We start from the raw sequence: 17860 nt of genomic DNA, 5'->3' as shown, positions 1-17860 counted from the left end.
GGCTACTCAAGTGAAGCAGTGGGAGTGGAGAAAGATATGATCACACAATTTTATATGACAAAGATTTCTTATTGGTAAACAATTTTGTTCTCGTTAACAAGGAATGTTTATTCTAGATTTAAAACCTAACGTGGCCAAGTGTGGTGGTTCATGCCTGTAATCCCAGCCGGCCAGTAAAATGTTTAATCTGGACATCAGTAAGGATCAGTTTTTAACATTTTACTTTATAGCTGCATTAGATTTTCTGAAGAGGGTTTTTGTTGTTTGATAAGGTTTTTTAAGAAAGGGAAGAGGTAGCAGTTTGAGAAAAAGTAATTAGTAGATATTACTGTGCTGGGTATTTTCTCGTTATTTGATCAAGTTCTTCCATTCCTTTTGAAATATATATGTAAGTTAAAAAGAAAAAACTTGGCCAGTCGCGGTGGCTCACGCCTGTAATCCAACACTTTGGGAGGCTGAGGCGGGCAGATCACTTGAGGTCAAGAGTTTGAGACCAGCCTGGCTAACATGGTGAACCCAGTCTCTACTAAAAAAAAAAAGACAAAAACATTAGCTGAGCATGGTGGCACATGTCTGTAGTCTCAGCTACTCGGGAAGCTGAGATGGGAGGATTGCTTTAACCCAGGAGGTGGAGATTGCAGTGAGCTGAGATCACACCACTGCACTCCAGTCTGGGTGACAAAGTGAGACTCCATCTCAAAGAAAAAAGAAAAAACTTTTACACTTGAATTCTGGTTGTGGTTATAATAAGTTATACATAGCACAATAAAAATTTTAACATGCTAATTTTGAAGGACTTTTAGAAAGCTCTTCATTTTAAGCCCACCAGATCTCTTTATAAGGAAGCAAGCCTTCCTTGTGAGACACACAGGAGGGAAAATTCAAAGAAAAATAAACTTTTTAAAAAATAAAAGTGTTTAAGGAAATAAATGTGTTTATTTGTTTATTTAGAGATAGGGTCTTGCTTTCTCATGCAGGCTGGGGTGCAATGGCATGATCACTGCTCACTACAGCCTCTACCTCCTGGGCTTAATCCATCCTCCTGCCTCAACCTCCCAAGTAGCTGAGACTACAGGCATGTACCACCATGTCTGGCTAATTTTTCTATTTTTATAGAGATGGGGCCTCACTATGTTGCCTAGACTGGTCTTGAACTCCTGGGCTGAAGCAGTCCTCCCACCTCAGCCACCCAAAGTGCTGGTATTGGAGGTGAGCCACTGTGCCAGGCTAGAAATGTTAATTCTTAAATCTCAACTAGCTGGCTTTTCCTAATTTGCCCTTCCCTTGCTTCCTTTCTCTCCCAAATATGGGATTCTACATCTGACAGCAGCAGTCTATGAGCAGAATAAAATATACTTTGATAACTGTTGTACTGACTGTGCATGCTAAAAACCCTTAGTGATTGTGAAAGCTTTCTTGCCTATAAATATGAAAACCAGATTCTTTCATTGCTCCAGAGCCCCTAAGAGAGTATTTTTTTTTTCCTTTCATCATTTTTAGTTTTGTTGCATTCTCCTTGGATGTCTAGAAAGCTCATTCTCTGGTACAGCAAGCAACAGGATATGATAATATTTTTGTTTTTTAAGATTTTTTTCCTGTTTTCTAAAAATTAAATAAATTTTAAATATTTTATTTTTTGTATGATGACATTTTCTTAGGAGATATAAAATGGATTCTCTTTTTTTAAAAAAAAAATTCTCACAATAGAAATAAATTATTAGCCCCTCAATATTTGCATGAAAAGTGACAAAATGCTTACTATATAAGGATTTTTTAAAAAATTCCTCAGAGTTGAGGTTTATCCTTTGTCCTAAATTAGGACAAAGGATAACTGAAATCTATTGTATCTATCAGTGAAATCTACCACTGTATTAGTCCATTCTCATGCTGCTATAAAGAACTGCCCAAGACTGAGTAATTTATAAAGGAAAGAGGTTTAATTGACCCACAGTTCTGCATGGCTGGGGAGGCCTGAGGAAACTTAAAATCATGGCAGAAGGCACCTCTTCACAGGGCGGTAGGATGCAGTAAGAGTGAGTGGCGAGCGAAGTGGGAAGCCCCTTATAAAACCATCAGATCTCATGAGATCTCACTCACTATCACGAGAAGAGCATGGGGGAATTGCCCCCATGATTCAAGTATCTCTACCTAGTCTTGCCCTTGCTTGTGGGGATTATTACAATTCAAGGTGAGATTTGGGTGGGGACACAAAGGCAAAGCATATCAATCACAGTCTATAATTATGTATTATTTACTTTTTACATTTTCTGTCATTATCCCTATGACGTAAGCTTCATGAGGAAAAAGACCTTATGCATCTTTTTACTTCTGGATCCCTGGGACACAGTAGGCATTCAATTAGGATATGTTGAATGAATTACACGATTATTCAGTCCTTAGGCTTCAATATGTGCATTTTTCTGGGGAAAATTTCTACAGCATTCATCAGATTCTTAAAGAGATTAATGATCTAAAAATTTTAATATTGCTTAATAGTCTACCTGTTTTAAAAGTTTAGGTTGTAAATGAATGCTTCCAGTTTAGTAAGGATTTTGTCACTTTTCATGCAAATATTGAAGGGCTAATAATTTAATTCTAGGAAAGTTTTGTATGTAATTACTACAGTACCCCATTGTATGAATGTGATTTGTACTCAAATTAGTTTTAAGATTTTGTTTTTTTTAAACTTGAAATCAAATCTGAAAAGAAAATATTGTGTATATACAGGGATATAACTTTTAGTTTCTAGTAATAAATAATTATGTTCCCGAGAATATTATTTTTTACAATTGATCTTTAATTTTTCATAAAACCAACTACATTTAAAAATGTTAAGTGATGTTTATAATTAAAATCTAGATTAAATATATTCAGAGCTTAAATATCAAGTGTTTTTTTTACTTCAGTGAAGTGAAAGGCTACCCTGGTCTCCAAAGGTCTCCAGGCCCAAATTCAGAGGATCAGTGGGGTTGGTGACAATAAGATGGATTATAATTTTCCTACTATTTAAGAGTTTTTCTCCTTTTTCATCTGGGTTAATTTGAGGGGAAGCATTCACCAAACTCATTTTAATGCACAGTATTTTTGCTCATTTTTGGTTGATATGGTTTGGATTTGTGTCCCTACCCAATCTCATGTCAAATTGTAATCCCAGTGTTGGAGGAGGAGTCTGATGGGAGGTGATTGGATCATGGGAGCAGATATCTTTCTGGCTGTTCTCCTGATAGTGAGTTTTCATAAGGTCTGGTTGTTGACCGGGCATGGTGGCTCACGCCTGTAGTCCCAGCACTTTGGGAAGCCAAGGTAGGCGGATCACCTAAGGTCAGGAATTTGAGACCAGCCTGACCAACATAGTGAAACCTCGTCTCTACTGAAAATACAAAATTAGCCGGGCATGGTGGCGCATGCCTGTAATCCCAGCTACTCGGGAGGCTGAGGCAGGAGAATCACTCGAACCCGGGAGGTGGAGATTGCAGTGAGCCAAGATTGCACCACTGCACTCCAGCCTGGGCAATAAGAGCGAAACTCCGTCTCAAAAAAAAAAAAAAAAAAAAAAAAAAAAAAGATCTGGTTATCTAAAAGTGTGTGGCACCTCCCCCTTCACCTTCTCTTCCTCCTGCTCCAGCTATGTAAGATGTGCCAGCTTCCCCTTTACCTTCTGCTATGATTGTAAGTTTCCTGAGGGCTTCCCAGCCAGGCCTTCTGTACCACTGGTAGAACTATGAGCCAATTAAACCTCTTTTTTTTTTTATTCTTAAATAAATTACCCAGTCTCCAGTAGGTTCTTTTTTTTTTCTTTTGAGATAGAGTCTTGCCATCACCCAGGCTGGAGTGCAGTGGCATGATCTTGGCTCACTGCAACCTCTGCCTCCCAAGTTCAAGTGAATCTCCTGCCTCAGCCTCCTGAACAGCTGGAACTACAGGTGCATGCCACCATTCCCAGCTAATTTTTGTATTTTTAGTAGAGACAGGGTTTCACCACGTTGGCCAGGCTGGTCCCGAACTCCTGACCTCAGCAGATACAACCACCTCAGCCTCCCAAAGTGCTGGAATTACAGGTGTGAGCCACCGCGCCTGGCCTCTGGTAGTTTTTAATAGCAATGCAGGAACAGACTAATAACACTGGTTGAAATCTGTGATAACAATCTTAAAAGTAAAAAAACTGAATAATAATCCTGCAACATTTGTCACCATAAAATTTTTTAAATAGCTTTACAAATAAGAATTTTTAAATATTTGCTTCTTAGCAGTATATTCTCAAAATCTTTTGTAAAGTATTCATGAACAAAGGTTGTAAATTTTTAAAATAACAAATTGATTTGGCCGGGCACGGTGGCTCACTCCTGTAATCCCAGCACTTTGGGAGGCTGAGGTGGGCAGATCACAAGGTCAGGAGTTTGAGACCAGCCTGGCTAACATGGTGAAACCCCGTCTCTACTAAATATACAAAAATTAGCCGGGCATGGTGGTGGGTGCCTGTAGTCCCAGCTAGTTGGGAGGCTGAGGCAGGAGAATCGCTTGGACCCAGGAGGCAGAGGTTGCAGTGAGCCGAGATCACGCCATTGCACTGCAGCCTGGGCAACAAGAGCAAAACTCCATCTCAAAAAAGAAAAAGAAATTGGATGAACCAAAGCATGGAGATGGGAATGTGTTAGACATGTTTGGCAAACAAATAGTAGTTTGTCTGGAGCATCAGGGTACCTACAAGGGAGTAGTAAGAGTAAAGTTGAAGAGCTTGTTAAAATATCCAGTAAACAATAGGTGTGGTGAAGTGGTGTCTTTCTTTGCCAGTAGAAGGGCTGCACTATTACTCACTTAGCTCATGAGTGAAATTACACCTAATGTGAAGGTAATCAAAAATATTTTTTGATATATACTTCATTATTAAGTGTTTGGTTTTTTTTTAAAATCTGATAGCAGAAGACAATTACATGTTTACTTATTAAGAGGAGAAAAAGGCAATTTTTATATTAATCCTAGATTTTATATGAAAAATCCCAAAGGTGTGAATTTTGGTGACATGGTATCATGACTGCTATAATTGCTGTTATTTAGAAGAGGAGTCCCCAGGAAGTTAGGAGAACTTTGGATGTGAAGCTATACTCCCCTCACCTTCCAAGCCCTCACAAGAAGGTTGTATAACAAACTAATGACTTACCTGGAAACCTACGCACAGGCCATGAGGATTGACGTCATTAGGTTAAGAGTCTGCAGACCTAGCTACTTTTATTACAGACCAGGAGTTTACAATGTGTTCTACAAGGAAGACGAGCTTCCAAGATACTCCATCTAGGATTTGCAGGTATGCTCTGGGAATAAAGTTGGTGTTTGTAGGAAAATAGCCTGTTGCATGGCAAGAGTGATAACATCTTGAAGTGAAATCTCCATAATGACTAATGTTTGACTCTGCATGCCAAAGTGTTCTGCAGCAAGTTCTCTAAACAATGCCTGTAACAACCCTCATAAAGATGCTTATCTGACCTCCCCAGTAGTCACAAGTTTCCACAAGAAAGTAACAGCTGCACATGTCTTTATCCTAAAGGCTTTTTTTCCTTTTCTCTTTTTTTTTTTTTTTTTGAGACAGGGTCTTGCTCTGTCACCAAGGGTGGAGTGCAGTGGCATGATTTCGGTTCACTGCAACCTCCGCCTTCCAGGTTCAAGCGATTCTCATGCCTCAGCCTACTTGAATAGCTGGGATTACAGGCATGTGCCACCATGGCTAATTTTTGTATTTTTAGTAGAGACAGGGTTTCACCATGTTGGCCAGGCTGGTCTCGAACTCTTGACCTCCAGTGATCTGCCCACCTCAGCCTCCCAAAGTGCTGGGATTACAGCCGTGAGCCACCGTGCCTGGCCCAAGGCTTGCTTTCTAAAGGATAATTTCTGGAGGACGGGTGTGAGGATCCACCATCTCGCAGTTGTCCGAGATACTGCTTATGTTTTCAAATCTCTGTGAAATATTTTCTTTCTGAGAAATTGGATTTGTTAGCCTTATTCTTTGGGCTTTAGGGGTAGGTTTGAATATACCTGCTGCTCACTATGGAACTGTATTCTTGAACTTATTTCTCATCCCACCATACTTAAGAGATCATGAGATTCCCTTTATGCGTTGAGATCAGACCTGACCACACATCTGGCTAATCTCAACTGTTGGTGAAGATTGTGGCATGGGTGTAGGAAGAATGTTTTCTAACAGAATCACAGAGATACCCTGAATATGTTCCGCATCTGTAAGGTAATCCACAATACACCCATAACCACCTACTTTCTTCCTGATTTGGTATTATTCCAGAGAGGCTAATGGCTTCCTCATTAGTTTGTCTATTACCTATAAAAAAAGACATGATGACCATACTGACTTACATTTACCTTATAATTGGCTCACAAACATGTCACTAGCCATTGCCGATCTGTAAAGATAGCCATTCCTTATGTATCAACCTGAAACTCCCATTTCAAAGAAAACTTTGGTGACTCTTCCATGAGATAGTTTCCTAAGTAGGGGGGAAAGATTACAGATTTCTGTCTTTGGGAGGCTTTAAGCTTTTCCAAGTCATGATATGTTATACCATATTCTTGCCCTTGCAAGTCTGTCATAAAACAGACTTTAGATTTGTGCTTGCAAACAGTGGCATTTCCCAAATCCTGACGTACCACTTTATTGACTTACTGTGAAAATGTTTGCGTTGAATTCTATTCTTTGTGAAGATGCTGGTGCCAAACCTGTACTGACTTTCATGTTCCCATTCTGTGTCTTTTTTTTTTTTTTTTTTTTCCTGAGGCTGGGTGTGGTGGCTCATACCTGCAATCCCAACACTTTGGAAGGCCAAGGAGGATGGATCGCTTGAATCCAGGAGTTCAAGGCCAGCCTGGGTGACACAGTGAAAATCTGTCTGTACTAAAAATACAAAAATTAGCCGGACATGGTGGCACATGCCTGTAGTCCCAGCTACGCGGGATACTGAGGCAGTAGAATCCCTTGCGCCCAGGAGGCAGAGTTGCAGTGAGTCCAGATCACACCACTGCCCTCCAGCCTGGGTGACAGAAGTGAAAACCTGTCTCAAAAAAAAAAAGTGTTTAACTGAAGTCAGAGGACCAGGATTTTTGTTTTGACTTTGTTTTGTCTTGAACTATAATTGTAAGTTCCTTCAACTAGGTACTAGCACCAGAATGATAAATGATTTCCTCACAGATAAAATGAAGAGGTAAGACTTGATGTTCTCTAAGAGCCCTTTCACTATTAAAATTTAATAAACTCTGTTAGATCAAGTGTGCAAAAAGAAATGGAGTATTTTTGTTTCTATTAGGATTCTGGAATTTAACAAAAAGAATTTTAATGCACCTTCACTGAGGGAATAGAGTTGGGAGAGCATGTCTTGTCACTGAAGCAACCTTCCCCTCTTTTCCTGTCTAAAAAGTTTGTATATACACCCCTCTAAGGAAATTAACAAGTTTCACCAAAGAAAGTGAGGTAATTGCTTTAGAAGAGTCATAACTTTTGTTTAAATCTCAAGGTTTAAAGTAACTAATAGGTCACTTTACCTAAGTAACCTAATCCAACCTACTATCTAAGTAGTTCTGAGCTGAAGTGGCTCTAAACGGATAGTTCTTTGTTTAAAAAAAAAAAGTGGGGGAGGGGGAGAGGGACAGATTAGACCCCAAAGACCTCAGTAATTCTAGAATTCATTCAACAAATCTTGCCAGCTACAGAGATGGATATGTAAAGGAAACAGAGAAGAAAATCTCTCCTTTAGAAATCTCATTCAGAACTAAGAAAAGAGAAACTGGAAAAAGAATGTAAAACTACCTCATAAATCTCATATGAACTTTACAGAATCATATTTTGGAAAATGAGATCCTTGTAATAAATTTTTAAATTGCAAATCACATTATTCATAAAGGTTTTTTAAAAATAAGCAGAACATTGGGAGGCTGAGGTGGGTGGATCACCTGAGGTAAGGAGTTCGAGACCAGCCTAAACAACATGGTGAAACCCTGTCTTTACTAAAAATACAGAAATTAGCCGGTTGTGGTGGCACATACCTGTAATCCCAGCTACTCAGGAGGCTGAGGCAGGAGAATTGCTTGAACCTGGGAGACAGAGGTTGTGGTGAGCCGAGATCACACCACTGCATTCCAGCCTGGGCAACAGAGCAAGACTCTGTCTCAAAAAACAAACAAACAAACAACAACAACAAAAAAAATCAGTACCTTTATTAGAACATTTCTAGAATGTAACAGTGCCTATTGCAGAAAGTCTTTTTTAAATTTCATAAGAAATTCTGCTAGAAAACATGAGGTTATTCTTGAATGTCAGTCAGCTGTTTTCTTATATAGTGAAATTATTTCATGGAAATGAGAAGTTACTTGCTACAAAAAATTACACAAGATATCTATAGATACATTGCTGGGTTGTTTTTTTTTATTATTCAAATGGCAAGAACAGCAAAAATCCTCTTTTTAGTACAACCATTATGGAAAACAGTGTGGAGATATTTAAAAACTAAGAATAGAACTACCATGTGATCCGGTAATCTCACTGCTGAATATATATTCTAAGGATTTGAAATCAGTATATCAAAGAAATATCTGCACTCTCAAGTTTATTGCAGCATTACTTAGAGTAGCCTAAGTGTCCATCAATGAATGAGCGGAAAGAAAATTTCAGACAAGAGGAATAAGTGCAAGAGATCTATTTTAACTCGTGATGACTATAGTTAATAGCAATATATTATATACTTGGGAAAAAAAGTCCTCCTTTGCCCACTATAATAATTGTATTCTCAGAATTAACTACTGTTGCCAGTTTGGAGTATATATTCTGTGTGTGTGTGTGTGTTTATATGTTTACATATATTGAAATATATAATTGTGTTATATAAAGTTTAGGTTTTTAAAAATATATTGTACGTATTCTGCAAGTCCCCTCCCCACACTCCCCCCCCCCCCATTTTTTTTAATTAATGATATCTCTTGGAGTTCATATAGGATTTCTCTCCTGGAGTTATCTTTATCCTGAAACATCAACTTTTCCCAGTCTACTAAATCACTCCTAACAGCACACAGACATGCTCTACTCCCATTCGCTGTTCTCCTCTACTTCTTGTTTATTTTTGTTTTTTTTTTTTCCTGAGATGAAGTCTCCCTCTTGTCACCCAGGCTGGAATGTGGTGGCACAATCTCAGCTCACTGCAACTTCCACCTCCCGGGTTCAGGCAATTCTCATGCCTCAGCCTCCCTTCCTGGTAGCTGAGGCTACAGGCATGTGCCACGAGGCCCAGCCAATTTTTGTATTTTTAGTAGAGATGGGGTTTCACCATGTAGGCCAGGTTGGTCTTAAACTCCTGACCTCAGGTGATCTCCCCCCACTTGGCCTCTCAAAGTGCTGGGATTACAGGTGTGAGTCACAGTGCCTGGCCTGGAGATAGTTTGGAGCCTTCACAACACGTTTCATCTCACAGACAAACACCAATCAACTAAGAGCATTTTCCTGCTGGGTTATGCTGTGAAGCCCTAGGAGTGCCACGATCAGTTAATGATGTCTGCCTAGGGAAAGGGGGAGAGGAGATAGAAGACGACGGAGCCAATGAAAAGGTCCCTAAAATCCACACTGATAGGGAGAAGAGAGTTTTCAGAACAAAGTGATCAATAAACAATATCAAACACTAGTAAAGAGATTCAGGCTGAAGGCAGACATCTTACATGAGTTTCTGGTTTACCTTGAAGAGAACAATTTCAATGGTGTATGTGGTAGTGGCAGTAGTCAGATTGTAACGAATAAAGGGAAAAAGGAATTAGGGAATGAGATGGTAAGTACGTATCCGAGGTTAAGATTTATGAAATAGGTAGATAGTACATGCTAGAACGAATTTTATTATATACAGTTTTTAATTCTCATTGAATCTAAGATCAGACTGTTTGAATCAAGAAGAAGGTAAAACCTAAAGTGAACAGTAACTCCCAAATGACTGTAGCACCTGATCTTAAGTAATAAATTTTAGTACCATTAATCTACTTATTCATTCATTCATTCATTCATTCATTCATTCATTCATTCGAGATAGGATGTCACTGTTGCCCAGACTGGAGTGCAGTGATGCAATCTCAGCTCACTGTAGCCTCCACCTCAAGCCATCCTCCCATCTCAGCCTCCCAAGTAGCTGGGATTACAGACGCACGCCACTACGGCCAGCTAATTTTTGTATTTTTAGTGGAGACAGTGTTTCACCATGTTGCACAGGCTGCTCTTGAACTCCTGGGCTAAAGCGACCTGCCTGTCTCAGCCTCCCAAGGTGCTGGGATTACAGGCATGAGCCAGTGCACCCAGTCATTAATCTACTTTTTATCTCGCATTTGTCAAACAACAAGGATATTAGGGAACCATGGCAAGGGAATTAGCTGAACTACCTGGAGCAGTGATTCTTAATATGCATCATCAGCATCACCTGGGAACTTGTTAGGAATGCAGACTCCTGGGCCCCATCTCAGGCTTACTGAATCAAAAACGTGGGGGCCAAAGACCAAGCAATTTGTTTAACAAGCCCGCTAGGTCATTCAGATGCACACGCAAGTTAATGTCTTGTAACACCAGTTTCTCATTAAATAAACCACATAGTTATTAAGTTACTAATCCACTTCGTTGGCCTGACCTAGATTCTCTAATGCTAAACCCTTTCAAGTGGTCGGGGTAGACTAACAGTCTTTTAAGGGTATTGAGGACCAGACTGGCCAGCTGTGATCTATTAAAAAAACATTTGAGCTGGAAAAAATATCATCTTTTCACGTTGAGGATCTAAAAATTCCCTTTGAAATCAGCAATCCCCACAAGTGAGAGGACCTCCTCTCTATGACTTGAACTCAGAAGTCTCAGGCATGCAGAGCCAATGCCTAACATGTCAAAACTGTACACAATAATTTATGACATATTTGTGAGGAACAGTTTTAATTTTTGGCTCACTTCCCATTTGCAGCACCTGCCCTGCAAAATAAATAAGTAAAAATCTTCTCTTTTTAAAAGAAGTTTATTTGTACATCTCTTACATTGCTCCATTACATATTACACTGCATTTCAAACTAATCAGATCCCTTAAAAAGATCCCTTCACCTAGAAAGCATGCTACTGCTTGCTGAGTTCTCCCTTTCAGTCTTGTGACTGTTTAAGGTCTTAACCTAAAGTAAGTAAAATCTAGCCTCTTTGTATAATATCAATGCAGGGTCAGAAAACAGGCTATTTAGCCAGTATTTACATGTCATAGGGCTGACTTGGCTGAACCTGTGCTCGCTACCCAAGGCCCTCCCTTACCTTCTCTGCTGACTCTGATTTGGTCCTTGTAATTTCCACCAGTCTGTGCTATGGGCACGAAGCTGGAAGTGCCAGCTTTGCATTTGTCAACATTGTATCGGCAAGGGAAGGTCTAAGACCCCACCATTTAGATCAATAATTGTGTGATTTTGTGTTGGTATAACTGGCCAAGATCATTGATTTTTCTTTTTTTTTAAAGATAAAAATTGAAAATGCTCTTTAGTAATCAACATTTTATTTATAATGAAAATCGTAGTACTGGTTTAATAAACATCTGCACCATCAGTTTCAAAGCATTTTTTACACTCTTAAGAGTGACATCTTAGTTCCTTCTCCTAAATTTACTTTCTTTAATTTGTCTTGTAACTGTATGACTCTCTAAATGACCCATGCTTAAGAATTATCATGTAACTTTGAAATGGTTGATGTTTATGATTCAGTTTTAAATTCATGTGTTTAACATATTTGTAATTCATTTTTAATTTTCTAATGTGTTTTAAATTTATTGCCATCAATAAAAGGCAGGCACATTATTCTTTTTCTTTCCTATATCCAAATTTTAATTAATGCTGAAAAATCACACATCACTAATGGTAATTAATAATTGTACAATAGCATAAACTACCACGTTCCAAATAATCTAAATGTTTATCAACATTTAAATTGACAGTGTTTTACTGAGGCACTGCCAATATAAAACAATAATTTCTCCTTTCTCAAAAATACTCCTTACAAATAATTTGGTTTAAAAGGAGAGAGGCACTTTGGGAAGCTGAGGCTGGCAGATCACTTGAGGTCAGGAGTTCAAGACCAGCCTGGCCAACATGGTGAAACCCCATCTGTACTAAAAAATATAAAAATTAGCCAGGCGTGGTGGTGTGCCTGTATTCCCAGCTACTCGGGAGGCTGAGGCAGGAGAATCGCTTGAACCCAGGAGGCAGAGGTTGCAGTGAGCCGAGATCACACCACTGCACTCCAGCCTGGGTGACAGAGCGAAACTCTGTCTCAAAAAAAAAAAAAAAAAAAAAAAAAGACATTTCTTTTTTTTGCAGAATAAAACCCCACTAATTCGTGCCATAATAATTATAAAAGTGAACAGCTGGAAAGAAATGCACAACTCTCATGCTATTGGAGCTTAAGATTCCCATGAGGAATCTCATCTGCTCAAGGACTGAGCAGAGGTGAAGAATGTTTTTCTGGGTCTAAAATCAATAGCAAGAGGATGAAGACTTTCCAATTGTTAATTATTACCAGTGCAAACTATAACAGTCTGAAATGTATTAATTATTAATTACCAGTGCAAACTATAACAGTCTGAAATGTATTACATATTACCAGCTTGGAAACTTTTGTTGCCAGACTTCCACAGTTCTTCTTGCTTGAAAGAGGGCATGACTAATGCTTTATAGGTATTTCCAATATTACCTCCCAAGCCATCATTAGGAATATTGATGGATCTTAACCTACATAACCTGCCTTTTTCAAAGCTCTCAATATATAAATGTTTCACAAATAAATGCTCAATACAAATTCTGTTGATAGAGGTTGGCACTTTTTAAAAAAGATTGTCCCATTTCTCTGTATGGTATTTCTAGAATAGGAATCTGATATTTTTATAAAGAGTGTTCTCAGTAGAATGAAACCTACATTTATTTTTGGAAAAAATAGTAATATGTGTAAGCACACAAGAGAGGAATAGTAGTTTTCCCCAGGGGAAAAAAAAACTAATTTACACATTAAAGTGTATTGATATATAGTTAAATATCAATTAAAATTAACCAAATGCTTTGAGATTAAGTATTTGATTTATTTTTTAATTAGTTGAGTATTAAAAAGGAAGCCCCTTTTGATGGAAGTCTTTTTAAATTTACACATAAATACTTTACAACTTTGTAATTAGACTTTAATTTTCTTTAGACAATGGAGAGTCTAATCTCTCCTTACAATTGATACCTGAAACAACAAGTTTTTATGTGGTATTTATTCTGTTCAGAGACCCTGCTCTCAGAGTTTAGAGGCAGTTTTTTTGTAAAGGGGGACTGCAGCAAAGATTTCTGAATGGGTACATGACATTTTCATGTAGCTGTTTTATGTGGCCATTTTGATGTATTAATACTTTAAAACTTTATCATAAATTAATAAAACTTACTCATAGTTAAATAAAATTAAAACAGAACTGAGAGGTAAAAAAGAAAACTAGAATTCCCCCCCCCCCCCCAAAGTCAAATAATCTCACTCCTCCCAGGTAACCACTGTTAACCAGTTCTTCTGTAGACTTTTTAAAAATACATAAAGTGACATATATATGTATTATATAAGTATATATATGTATATATACATACATGTATATGTGTGTGTGTGTATACACATATACACATGTATATATATACACACATATACACATATATGTCCTTTTAAAAGCTAGTTTAAATAAAAGTGAGCTATGTATATGGCTCTGTAGTTTTTCTCACTTAGAAATGTATCTGAAGGATCTACCTAATTTTAATAGCTGTATATTATTGTATTCTTTTTGAGACAGTGTCTCGCTGTGTCGCCAGGCTAGAGTGCAGTGGCGCAATCTTGGCTCACTGCAGCCTCTGCCTCCCGGGTTCAAGCGATTCTCCTGCCTCAGCCTCCCAAGTAGCTGGGACTACAGGCATGTGCCACCACGCCCGGCTAATTTTTGTATGTTTAGTAGAGACAGGGTTTCACCGTGTTGGCCAGGATGGTCTTGATCGCTTGACCTGGTGATCCGCCCGCCTCGGCCTCCCAAAGTGTTGGGATTACAGGCGTGAGCCACCGCAACCAGCATATTATAGTATTCTTGTTAGACATTTTAGCTAGTATTCTATTTGTATATTTAGGACACTGCAAGGGTTTTTTCTTTCTTTTTTTACTCTTTTCTTTTTCTTTGTTTTTTAAAGTGATATTGCAAGGTTTTGAAAGTTACAGTGAGCTAAAAAGTTGACCAAATAGAAGTAGAGAGTGGAACAGTGGTAACTAGAGGCTGGGATGGATAGGGGGAGGAGAGGAATAGAGAGAAGCTGGTTAACAGATACAAAATTACAGTTAGGAGGAATAAATTCTAGTGTTCTATAGCACCGTAGAGTGAATATAGTTAAAAATAATTTATTCATATTTTCAAATTGCTAGAAAAGAGGACTTTGAATGTTCTCAACATAAAGATATGGTAAAGGTTTGAGGTGATGCATATACTAATTACCCTGACTTGATTATTATGCATTATATACTATAAAAATACCACATTGTACGCCATAAATATGTGCAATTCTTATGTGTCAAAGAATATAGATTCTGGGCCAGGTTCAGTGTCTCAAACCTGTAATCCCAACACTTTGGGAGGCCGAGACAGGCGGATTACTTGAGCCTAGGAATTCAAGATCAGCCTGGGCAACATGGTGAAACCCTATCTCTACAAAAAATTCAAAAAAATAGCCACGCATGGTGGCCACCCCTGTGGTCCCAGCTACTTAGAGGCTAAGGTGGGAGGATTGCTTGATCCCAGGATGTTAAGGCTGCCGTGGGCTGAGATCACACCAGTGTACTTTAGCCTGGGTGACAGAGCAAGACCCTGTCTCTCTCTCTTTCTAGAAATACATTAAAAATAAACGTTACAGCGACAGAGTGACATCCTTGCATATACATCTTTATGCATTTGTGGGAAGTGAAATTGATTAGTCAAAGCTTTAGTGGATTTTTTTATGTTGATCAATATCGTCAAATTGCCCTTTAGATGGATTATATCAATTTATAGTATCACTAGTGGCATATGAGAGGACTTGTTTCTCCAGTTTTCTAAAGAAATTGATAATTCAAATTCAGCCTTTTAAAAATGGTGCTCTTGTTTCCCCAAAACTTGTTGAATAATCCATCTTTTACCCATTGAATTGAAGTGTCATCCTTATTATATACTAAATTCCCATATAAATATTAATCTACTTCCGGATTTTTTATTCAGCTTCATTGATTTATTATCTGGCTACAAAGTGTTTCAAGTAGCTTTATAATATGTTTTAATTTCTAACAAGGCATCTTTTATTTCTCTTTAAGTGTTTTTTTGGGTTATTCTCATGTTTCTAGATAAATTTTTTTTGCCAGCCAGATTTTTTTATTGTGGTAAAATTTATATAGCATAAAATTTACCATCTTCGGCCAGGCGCGGTGGCTCACGCCTGTAATCCCAGCACTTTGGGAGGCCAAAGCGGGTGGATCACCTGAGGTCAAGAGTTCAAGACCAGCCTAGTCAACATGGAGAAACCCCATCTCTACTAAAAATACAAAAATTAGCCAGGCGTGGTGGTGGGTGCCTGTAATCCCAGCTACTCGGGAGGCTGAGGCAGGGAGAATCGCTTGAACCTGGGAGGCGGAGGTTACAGTGAGCCGAGATTGCAACATTGCACTCCAGGTTGGGCGACAGAGAGAGACTGTCCAAAAAAAAAAAAAAAAATTTACCATCTTAACTATTTTACATATGCTGTTTTGTGGCATTAAGTGCATTCACATTGTTGTGCAACTATTTGCAACTCTGGAATCTAGATGAATCCTAATACTAACATTTTGTCAAGTTTCAAAAAATGCTGCTGTTGGCCAGGCACGGTGGCTCACGTCTGTAATCCTAGCACTTTGGGAGGCTGAGGCGGGTGGATCATTTGAGGTCAGGAGTTCGAAACCAGCCTGGTCAACATGGTGAAACACTGTCTCTACTAAAAATACAAAAAAAGTAGCCAGGCATGGTGGCGGGCGCCTGTAATCCCAGCTACATGGAAGACCGAGGCAGGAGAATTGCTTGAACCCAAGAGGCGGAGGTTGCAGTGAGCCGAGATTGCGCCATTGCACTCCAGCCTGGGCCACAGGCAAGATTCCATCTCAGAAACAAAACAAAACAAACTGCTGTTGCTGTGTTGCTATTCTGATTGTCATTATAATCCATGTACAGATTAATTTACGTAGATTTAACTTTTACAATATTGTCTATGAAGCACAGCATGTGTATATACGTATATAATATATATATTATATATACAATATATATAATATACTATATATAATATACAATATATATAATATACTATAATATACTATATATACTATATATAATATATATAATATACTATATATAATATATATTGTGTGTATATATCTATTTTTTAGATAGAGTTTTGCTTTTGTTGTCCAGGCTGGAGTACAATGGCATGATCTCGGCTCACTACAACCTCCACCTCCTGGGTTCAAGCGATTCTCCTGCCTCAGCCTCCCCGTGTCACTGGAATTACAGGCATGCACCACCATGCCCAGCTAATTTTGTATTTTTAGTAGAGACGGGGTTTCTCCATGTTGGTCAGGCTGGTCTCAAACTCTCGACCTCAGGTGATCCTCCTGCCTCAGCCTTCCAAAGTGCTGGGATTACAGGCATATATTTTCCTCTCATTCATTCACTCAAATATTTATTGAGTACTTATTACACCAGGAACTCTGCTAAGCATTAGAGATATAAATGTAACTAAAGTAATGTATCTGTAATCATGGATCTTAAGAAATCCAGAAGAGGAGATAGAGATCAAGCAAATAATTGCACAAATAAATGTAAAGTTGTGAAGTGCTAAGGAGGAGAGAGATGTGGTAATACAGTGAGCTTATAATAAGTGATTTTATCTAATTGGCGGGGTGGGGTGTGTCTGGGCAGTCTTCCCTGAAGTAAGAACTGAGCTGACTCTGGGAAAATACACTGAAGTCATCTTAAATAGCCTCCATTTGGCTCCATACAGGCTCTGCACATTTCTTTGGTTTGTCCCTGGGTATATAATCTTTCTTCTTGTAATAATATAAGAGCTCTTGTATTCATTTTATTTTTAACCTTTTTTTTATTTATGGGAAAGCTATTGATTTTTGTATATTATATATGTAACCAGCTACCTTTGGGATTTTCTTGTTTTTGAGGGAACCCATTCTCTTTCTCGTACATTTTTGCTTCAGCTAGTAAGTTAGGAATATCTGTCAAAACTTCTGCCCTCTTGGAAGTTTGAAGGGGGAAGCTGCTGTCTTCTCCCCACCTCTGTGAGTACAAGAGTGATTTACCTGTTTTTATTGATTTTTTATTTTTTTTATTTTTTTTTTGCTGTAGGATATAGATCCTGATGACTTACGTGTTTGGTAAAATGGTGAGAATATGACATCCACTAAGTCATCTTTCTGTTTTGAGTGGAATTAATATGTGAAAGGCCAAGGCTCAATGTGGCATTTCTCTTTTGACTCTCTATTATAGTCAGCAAGTAAGGGAGACTCCAACTACTTTATTTATTAATAACTTTTAAATATTTTGCTACAATTATAAATAGTAATCATTAAAGTTATTTACTTAAGAAACAATGTCTCACTCTGTCACCCAGGCTGGAATGCAGTGGCATTATCATAGCTCACTGCAACCTTGAACTCCAATGGCCTCAAGTGACCCTCCTGCCTCAACCTCCCAAGCACTGAGATTTCAGGTGTGAGCCACTGTGCCGGCCACCGTTAGATTTTTTTTTTTTAATCTTGGTT

The sequence above is a fragment of the Homo sapiens genome, chromosome 14, assembly GCF_000001405.40.
Source record: "Homo sapiens chromosome 14, GRCh38.p14 Primary Assembly".
Lineage (NCBI taxonomy): Eukaryota > Metazoa > Chordata > Mammalia > Primates > Hominidae > Homo > Homo sapiens.
This window is presented reverse-complemented; position numbering follows the sequence as displayed.